Genomic DNA, 10,544 nt, shown 5'->3' with positions numbered 1-10,544 from the left:
TGAATTTATTAATTCCAGTATTTGGTCTTGAATTTTGAATATTAAATTCTGATGTTTATCCACTCACAAATTGCTTTTGTCCGTTTTATACATCATAGTTAATACTACTTCAATTTACCCAGTCTCTTAGACCAAAACACTAGGCTTTCTCCTTGATTCTTCCAGTCATTGTATCCTTATGTAATCTTGCTATTTATTCTTTCAGAAAGTATCCAAACTGGACTGTTTCTTAAAACACTACTGCCTGGATCCTACTTAAAGTATGTAACATCTTTTACATAAACTTTCCAGTAACCTGCTAACAGTTCCCAAAACATTCTCCTGTTCCCAGAACTATTGATGACCTGTGAGACAGCTGCAGTAATCTTCACATTCTAATTCAGATTACAAATATTATCCAGCATAAAACCCAATAATTATTTCCCATTACTCAAAATAAGGTATAAACTCTTTATCTCATCCCACCTTATAGTTCCCTGTCTTTATTCTCTTCTTCTGAAACTTACCCTTACTCATTTTGTTCCAACCATGTAAGCCTTCTCACATTTTCTCTAATGGGTTATCCCTATTTCCATTATTTTTTGTTTTCCTCTTTCTGAAAGACACTTGATTCGTAACTTCTGATAGCCTGCTCCTTTTTATCATTCAAGTATCAGCTCAATAGCCCCCTTTAGAGAGGTCATCTTGTCTATCCTATCTAATTTCCTGCCCAGTCATATCTGGCTCCTCAATCCACTTTATTTTCTTCGAAGTGTAATCACCATCAAAAATTACATTTTCTTGATTCAGGTTATTTTTTCATCCAAAGATGCCTTAAGTTTTCTGCCATTTATATCATCTCCCTTTGTTCTTCCTCTTTCAACTATTTTCTAAATCTGATCAAAATGCTGCCAGAAGTTTACACCTGAGGTTCACTACATAAAAGAAAAAAAGAGTAAAAAATATAGCTGAATATTTTCTCAGTAATTTGGCATATAAAGAGCCTTTTTTTCTTTTTTCCCCTCAAAGATTTATTTGTTATTTTTATTCTGAATTTTAAAAAGAACATGTATATACATGAGTGTGTGTGTGTGTGTGAGAGAGAGAGAGAAAGAGAGAGTGTTAACTGTATCATTTGTATGTCTTCATTTAAGTGTGAAATATTATTAAACATCTTTGAAGGGGGTATGTGTAGAAAGTAATCTCAATGCAGCACCTTACTTTTAAAGCTTTAATATGGAATACATATTTTTATCATTGATATTTGATTTATGAAATATTGTTGTGTCCTAAGACAGTACAAACATAAATCAATTTATAGATACAAATTTATTTAAAATTTACTTACTCTTATTTTTGTGAGTTATATAGCTATTAGGAAATCGAAGACATTTATTTTCACAATGATTCCAGAGCAAGTTAAATGTTCTTAATTTATGTAGATGAGCCTTCAATATATCCTTAAGAATATATAAAAGAGATGAGAATTAAACAATTCTCATCAACAGAGCATCAAGAGTTTATTTTTATTTTTAGCAAAACCATACTTCAAATTCAAGTACTGTAAAATTAATAAGATTCTTATTTATTGTTTATGTACATTTTCTCATCACCTAAACCATAACAGATACTTTTAAAAAATCAATGAATGAAGATAATTTCTCATCTTAAAATTAACTAAAACTATCAGTCTCCACATATTACCTTGGTACTACTAAATGTGGACCACTTATTTTGATTAAAATGTTCGAAGTAACAACACAAATTTGTTGAACATCTATATAATATGAGCTCTTATAATGTCTTTTTATTATTTATGAGACAGTGTCTTGCTCTGTAACCCAGACTGAAGTGCAGTGGTACAACTGCCCCCCGCAGGCTTGACCTCTTGGGTGCAAATGATCCTCCCACCTCAGCATCACAAGTAGCTGGGACATTACATTAATTAACTTACAGCAATAATCCTTCTGCATCTGTTAAAATATTTTGTCATATTTATTTGGTGAAATAATACTTAGCAATAAAAAAGGAAGGAACTACTAATTGATGTAACGATAGATAAAAGTCAAAGAATAAGTTAAAAGAAGCCAGATACTAAATAACGTAAACTTCATGAGTTCATATATACTTTATATAAAGGGCAATTTTTGGCAAAATTACTCTAAGCGATTAAAAATCAGAAAGTTGCAGTGGGTAGAAAGAAGGGTCAACTTCAATGGGGCACAAGCAGACTTTCTGAGGTGATGGAAATGTTCTATCTACATCTTGTTTTGGGTGATATTGCATAGACACAGACAGTAGTAGAAACTCATTGAATTAAATATAATCCATGCATTGATGTAACAGTCTCCAGTTTTCTGTTTGGGGGACCTACACAGACCAGGAGACTCTTCCAATTTCTTCCTGCCTACAGTTTCTTTTAATAAGCTGCAATACACACGTAAAAAAAAATCTGAGAAAAATATGCATTATAGAAGATAGGGTTGAAGAGTATGTATTCTTTAAAAATTTAAAAACAATGTGGCATGACCTTGTACAGGTATTTTCTCTCCTAGGGATATATGTTAGAGAAACCATGTGTGTATAGAACAGGAGACCTGTACATGAGTATTCAGAGTGATATTATTGACGGGAGCAGAATCTGAGAAGAAACATGTTACATGTCTATCAAGAGGAAGATGGATGAATAAAATGTGAAATATTCAGACAATATAATTTTTATTGCTTAAAAAACAAATGAATTATAGCAAAACACTAAAACTTGGACACGTACTATATTTAGTGTTGCATGAAGAAGCAATTAGCATAAATACTAAAATGTTTATATGAAGTTTAAAAAATAACCTACACTAAACATTGTATTGCATGGAAAGGTAATGACAAATACAAAATTTAATAACATATTGTGACCGCCTGTTGGATTAGATAGAAGAATTTAATGGACAGCAAAACAAAAGTAAATGCCAGGATTTTGATAATATATTTCTTAGGCTGAGTGGTGGCTTCGTAGTTGTTCATTTTATTACTACATTTTACGGTATACATATCTATTATATTCTTTTGTATACATATTATATAATGCAGTTTTTAAAATGTGTAGTCAGTTATAATGTGTGAGATTTTTGAGCTGCAACACTAGAAAGATGGCAGAACAAGAGCAAAGAAAAATCCCTTTGGTTCCAGAAAATCTCCTGAAAAAGAGGGAGGCTTATCAAGCCCTCAAAGCCACCCAGGCAAAGCAGGCACTTTTGGCAAAGGAGCAGAGGAAAGGAAAAGGCTTCAGGTTTAAGCAATTGGAATCATTCCTACATGATTTCTGACAGCAGAAACGTGACAAGGTGTGTCTCAGATGACTAGAAGTGAAAGTTCATACCTTGGAATTGCCAGATAAACATTCTTTGGCTTTTGTTGTAGGCATCAAAAGAATTGATGGCGTGAGTTTACTGGTGCGGAAAACCATTGCAAGACTTCACCTAAGGAAAAGTTTTAGTGGTGTCTTTGTAAATGTCACCCACCGGAACCTAAAAATGCTGCTTTTAGTGGAAACTTATGTGACCTGAGGATTTCCAAATCTGAAATCTGTCCGGGAACTCATTTTGAAACAGGGACAAGCCAAGGTCAAGAATAAGACCATTCCTCTAACAGACAACACAGTGATTGAGGAGCACTTGGGGAAGTTTGGTGTCATTTGCTTGGAAAACCTCATTCATGAAATTGCCTTCCCAGAGAAGCATTTCCAGGAGATCTCATGGTTCTTGCACCCTTTCCACCTCTCAGTGGCCTGTCATGCTACCAAAAATACAGTGGACTTCCTCAAGGAGATGGACTCACTTGGCCATCAGGGTAAACGCACCAATCAGCTCATCCACCAGCTGAACTAGACCCAGGTGCCAAACTGCAGTACATTTTTATCAGTGAAGTGGAAGCATGTGTTTTTGCTTTTTTGGGAATTTTTATCAAGTATCTTCAGAGAAGATTATTTCCTGCTTTAGTCTTCAAAAACTAGAAAGGAAGGATCAAAGAAAAGACAGTAGGTCATTTTCATGGCAAGCACCTCTCATCGCAGTCCAGTTCCAAGGAAAAATTCCAGTGTTTTCTACATTGGCTGCTGCCTCCTCTGAAATCAGCACATTCCACGGAGGAAGGAGTCTGGCTTTGTTGCATCTTGTCTCCTAGTATTTAATGTTGGTAAATGAGTAACTCTAGCATTTGTACAAGGCTCCCTAAGACTCCAGCAGCAGTTGATCTAGCCCAGGGACATAATTCAATCTGGAGATTCCTGGTGCCTTGTTTTGAAAAAGATTTGAAATACACATAGGAAAAAAGGCACCTAAATAAATGTTCACTTGTTTCTGATGTGAAAAAAAAGAGATTTTTATAATCTGATTGACAATGAGAATAGTGAAAATATTGAATTGGTTGGGGGTTGTAAGCAAATTTTTGTGGAAAGAATGTATAAAGGAAATTAGAAAATGAAAAGTAAATTGACACAGAGTTATATGTTTGATTTTTGAGAAGAACTTAGAAGAAAATTCAGATACTACATTTTATGCAAATGATACTTCTCAACAAAGAGTTGTCTTTTTCTTGTTGGAATGCATAGAATGTTGTCCTCTTTCCTGACATTCCAATTTATTAAGGGCAAAGACATAAATTCCATTTTTCTGTCTTTTGAAGCTTGAAGCCTTAGTGCTTATTAAGACTAAGTCTAGTAAATAATGCTTTACCTAGAAATTGTAAATAGGTTAGATTATTTCTTGGAGAAAACAAGTCTTTCTAAAAATAAAATTATTAAAGAATACCTTTCAGATAAACTTTCCTTCACCTCATTTACTTTTCTATTTCTCTATTTAATTAATTTATCCAAAGAAATGATCATTTTAGTAATGATTCTGATAAATTAATTTAAAATCTTTATTTCATCTTGCCTTCTAATTCAACTTTGATTAGTTCTAAATGAATTAGATAAATAAAACTAAGGGAGAAACATTTGCTTAGCCATTGATACTTCATTAGTACATTGTTGTTATGTTTTATTTATATTACATAATTTACTCAGCAAAAATTATGTACTCCAGTCTTTTTGTCTGGAATTATAACAAAACTGGAATTGTGACAGAGAACTATTTTATTTCATCTATACTCATTAAAAGACCAAGGCATACAAGAAAAACTATATTTTAAATAATATTAGGTTTTTATAATTTGGGACTAAAGATATTCAATAATAAATTTAAAAAATATACTTTTTATCTAGATTTTAAGACAAAAGTATTGTCCACTGTATATCACTGCATGACCCTAAAAGATTTCTGAATCCATACAACTAAAAAGAGGCCAAATATCAAAGGGATATCAAATACGATGGCAGCTTTTTCTCTGCCATTACTGACAACAGCTTCCAAATCTTTTCAGCCTTAAAGCTTTGGAGATCAAAGAACTATCATAAAGGCTCCTGACACATAAGTGTGATCTCTTTAAACATTATACTAATCCAGGCAAGAAATATACAGTGAAATAACCCATGTTCCTATATTCAGTGTTTTGGGTAGATATACCTGCTTATTTAAGTTGCATCACTGAGGAGTTTTCAAGAATTCACCTCGCTACTTATTTACATCATATTATTGAGAGAAAAAAATGAGAGAATAGTTTTGAGCACTTCATCTGCACAATCACCTTCACATCTTTTTGTCCTATGCTTTTCTCACATTTTAAAAACAAAAACTGAGGCTGACAATTATGCCCTTATTGTCGATTTTAGTATTATTTATGTGTTAGTTATGTTTTATTATTTAAGCTAATTTTACTTCCAATTTACAAATATACTTTGACCAAATTCCATGTCCCCTTGCCCAGTTATAGTCCATTTCTCAATCCTGAGTTAGTACTCACAGTTTATAACCCGTTTGCCTTTATCATACTCTCCATTTTCTTCAAATACCATATGATACCATATGTAAATGTTAGATTTTCTAGGTTCTTGCATTTATAAAAACATTTTCGTGGCCTCCATTTATGAAAGAGAATTTGGCTGGATGTTAATTTCGTGTGTCATAAACTTTGTTATTTAAAGATCTGATAACATTCTTATATAAATATTCCCGACATTCTTATATAAATATTGTTGAGAAATCAGCAATCCAGTACTTGTTATTTGATAAAAAAAAAATTTTACTTGACATATTATGATATTTTATCCAACTATGTAAAAATGTATATGTGATATATTTCCAGGCCCTCTAAAGATCTCAATTGCTTTTTTCGGGGAAATATAGTAATAATTGCTTCTTTAAAACGTGGCTCCTTAATCATCTTGGAAATATTTGGTTTATAGCTTTCATTGTGATTACACTTACTCATTTTTCCAAAGTGCCTGCGTTCTTATGTTAGAGTTCTGCTTTTTTACGTATATATCACCTCATCCCTCCTTCTTTTCAAAAAGATTTTCTACTTGCATTTAGAGAGATCTCTTCTGCATGTTCCTGATTCATATTTTATCTATCAGTATTAATTTTACAACTTATATCATGTTTTTTAAATTTTGCTGTTGGACTTTTTAGGTAATTGGTGCTTTCTGTTTACCATTTCCAATTTTCACTTATCTTGGCTCCTTACCTTACTGTATATTCTCTTTAAATGGTTAATTCTTAGCCAGGTGTGGTGGTGCGCACGTGTAGTTCCAGCAACTTGAAGGCTGAGGCAGGAGGCTCACTTGCACCCAGGAGTTCTAGGCTGCAGTGAGCTATGCAGTGTACTCCAGCCTGGGTGATAGAGCAAGACCCTGTCTCAAAAATAAAATGTTAGTTCTCTTTCTCAAAAGCCATGGAATCTTGCAAATTATCAAAGATGCCTAATAGAGTTCTAAAATTATTGTCTAATTGTTGTATTAAATAACTCTGGCAACAAAGAGATTTTCATACAGTTTCATTTATTTCCCTCATTGTTATCGAGTTTATTCATGTTCAGATAAGAACAAATTATTCCAAACCCTATGTTTTAGTGGAAACTTGATAAAGATTATTTTGGGCCCCTCTCTCTTCCAATTTGATGAGACTTAAATACTTTAGTTCATCCTGGATATGTGCGTTAAATGAAAAACTCTTGGCCCAACATCAAAATTTTAATGTTTTGGTTCTCTGATAAATTGTGATGAAAATATTATTTTTCCTCAATGTTTCGCTATTTGACCCTATTATCAGATGGTAGACATCGATTTGTATTTCTTTCTGATCTCTACCGATTTTTTGCCTTACATTCAGTTCTGCATACGAAGTATATTTTATGGGAAGCAATGTGGCACCATGTCTTACCAGTATGTTTGCTGATAGTTGCAAATTTAGAAAAAAAAGTGGTTTGGGATGAGATAAGCAGTGAAATGAAAAGAAACATTCTGTTTTTTCCAAAGAGCACTCACTGTGCAATAGAAAGAAATCTGAACCATTTTGAACTTGGTACAAGATTTTATTTTTGAAATGAGAAGATAATATTTGTTGCTTAAAGGGTCTACATTCAGGTTCGTAGTTAATAGTTAGTGTTGAAAAGTGCCTCATTCATTTTTATACTACGTCAAAGAGCTGGCTTACCTATTTCTGTTTCACTGGTATCCATTGCAAGTCAGCATGAGGTTAACTCTCAATCCTGTTTAAACATTATTGCAGTTATTTTTCCTCTCTTCTTGAATATCTAAATGGCAATTGAAATATACTATGATAGAAACTTCTGGTCACACACCAAATTACCAGGAAGTGTATGTAATTTTCCAAAGTTTGTTAACTTGGAAATTAACTAGATTATTTTTATAGCCTCCCCCCTTTTTTTGACCAATGCTGTAGTTTAGCTAGATAGAGTCAAATATGTTCAAATATTAATATAGAATTTATTTTCTGAACCTAGCCAAATGGTCTCTTTCCTTTTACATTTGGGCTAGCCTCTTCCACTGTAGTAATTTTATCTGTTTTTAATGGTGGTCAACTGTTCCATCTGTTAAATCTCAATAAACTTATGCTTACCTACACCTCATACGTGTGATAATATGCACAGCATATTATATTTTTCTAGTCATTCTTCTGTCTTCTTCTTAATAATTTTAAACATTCTGTCAGGGAAAAAAAAGCTGACAATCATTTTTATGCTCACACTACCTAATACTGTGCTTGCTGCTTATAAAAAGAATAAGTTAAATCATTAGTCAATTGCTTGAGTTCCTCATACCTAACTTAAAATAGCATACTAAGAACAACATTATAGCTAGTTTCCAATGATGCCAACATTTTAAAAATGTATACGGTATACATTTATATAAATGTATAATTTCAAAGTGTTTGCAATATTGCAATAATAATTTCAAAGTGTTTTCTGATTTCTTTTGATTTGTTCTTGTGCCTTTTGTACCACTGAATGCAATTTTTATTTAATCCTGCAAAAATATTGCAGGATGTTGCTGCAATATAGCACTTCATTGCAAAACTCTTGACTTCATGTTTGCGCCATAACCATTTAACATCCCATTCAAATTTGAAGATTGTAACTTTTAAAATGTATTAGCTGTAATAAATAAAGCAGAGGTTCCTTTTTATTTCATTAAGCAAAAGCATAAAAAGACACGAAGTGAATCCAATTTGTGTGGTTCCTGTTGTTATATTCTCAGAAATAGTCATTGCAAAAGTTTTAGTGAGTATACATTTACTTCCAAATGGTTTAAGTAGTAGAAATTTAAGCAAAATAAAATACTTAATATTATGTTCCTTGCTAAGGTTTCTATTTGTTCCAAGGTATAAAAGCAATACTTTTAAACCTCATTGGAAATTCTGAAATTTTGATTCATTCTAAAGGAGCAGTTAAACGGTGTCGTGCTTTTTAAATATAGAAAAGAACAGGATTATAATAATTACTTTTCCCGATGATATTCAGATGTGTGCGTTTAGGAAGACAAATTATTTCACGGAAAGACCCTTGCTTATACATTTTTCCTCAGGCTGTATTTCAGAATTTTCTATTTACACAATTTCTGTGCTTCTCACCTTCTCCTTGACCTACTGTCACTGTGAGCACACTGTTATCTACATCAGACCAATCTTATTCAACTTTTATGTAACAAAGTTGTGAATTGTTTTTTAGTTGTCATGGACCCCCAGATTGAAGGTCATCTAAGCTGAGTATGCCCAGATGAAGCAACTGTGCAATCACAGGGGAGGACCTAAGTTTTGGGACAAAGGAGCAGAGACAGAATTAAGAAGCTAACAGCATTTAGCAGGATCCAAGATCCGATCAGATCAAGCTTTAGAGTCACCCCATGGCAGAATCCAATCAGGTCATGGCTCCTGGCATCACCTTATTGTAAGATCCAATCAGATTATACCTCGGTGCCCTATGCTTAGAAAACCCAACCCAAATCCCAGCCGAGGAGACAGATTTTAGCATTTTATCTTGTCTCCTTGCCAGTTGACACTCACAATAAAGCTTTTCTTTTTTTCAAAAGCCAGTGCCATGAGATTGGCCTCTATGTGCACCAGGCAGCAAGCCCATGTATTACTCGGTAGCAACATTAATATTCCAAGTTTGTTTATGTAGACAATGAAACTGAAACCTGAACTCTTTTGTGAGTAATATTTTATTTTGTTAGAAATACAAGTAAACTGCATTAGTATGTATTGTTCAAACATGGCAACATATGGTTTTGTAATACGTTATCTAAATTTGAACTTCTAAAGACTCAGCAAAAGACTTTCTGCAAAGTAAAACTAAAAAATTCTTAAGGAAACTATATTTGTATTTTGATCAGGACTTTAAATAATTGTAAGCTTACTTTTCCTTAAATATTTTAAAGCCATTAGAATAAAAAATGTACAGTTAACATAATAAGGAATTCTTGGCTCTTGCAATATAGTAAAAATATTACTTAGGTTTTAAAGTTTCCTGCAAACTAAATGAGAGCAAATTATTATGAGTTACTACTGAAAAGATCATAACATACCATTTAGATAAATAATGCAGTAAGGACAAAAGTATTTAAAGAATATTAGGGTGTCCCCTTTAATGGTAAATAAAATACGATTTTGGAGATAATTAAGGTATTAACTATGTATATGCATTTATATATGTGTGTATATGTATACTTAGAAAATAGATAAAACAGGGAAGAAAGAAACAGCAGGAAGAAGTGGGAAAAAAGGAAGAGACTGAATTATTATCATGTATTATCAAAACAGACTCATCTTGAACTTGTTTTCCTGATTCTGCAGTTGTACATTCTTCCCCATTAACTAGTTTATTCTGGGATTAATTTTCCATAATGTAAAATAATAGAATATTCTTACATGATACCTTCAAAATCCCAATGGATTTTTTAACTTCAGCAATATTTGAATATTTTTGGAAATGTAACATATTTTATTTAAATTTTCTGTATTGTTAAATAGTTATTACATGTGTTCAATATTATTAAACATTAAAAAGTTTAAAAGTTGAGTTTAATACATATTATTCAATCATATGACTGTACAACCAACCATTTGTTATTACGTTTATGTAATTCCCAAAGGCCGAGAAAGAAATAATTTGAA

General features: G+C 32.4%; 1 pseudogene; it reads left to right on the top strand.

The window, feature by feature from the left end:
• On the top strand, window positions 3,105-4,013 carry RPL7L1P1 (RPL7L1 pseudogene 1; annotated as a pseudogene).

The sequence above is a fragment of the Homo sapiens genome, chromosome 13 (assembly GCF_000001405.40).
Source record: "Homo sapiens chromosome 13, GRCh38.p14 Primary Assembly".
Classification (NCBI taxonomy): Eukaryota; Metazoa; Chordata; class Mammalia; order Primates; family Hominidae; genus Homo; species Homo sapiens.
The sequence above is the reverse complement of the archived record's forward strand: the minus strand, read 5'-3'. Positions and strand labels throughout refer to the sequence as shown.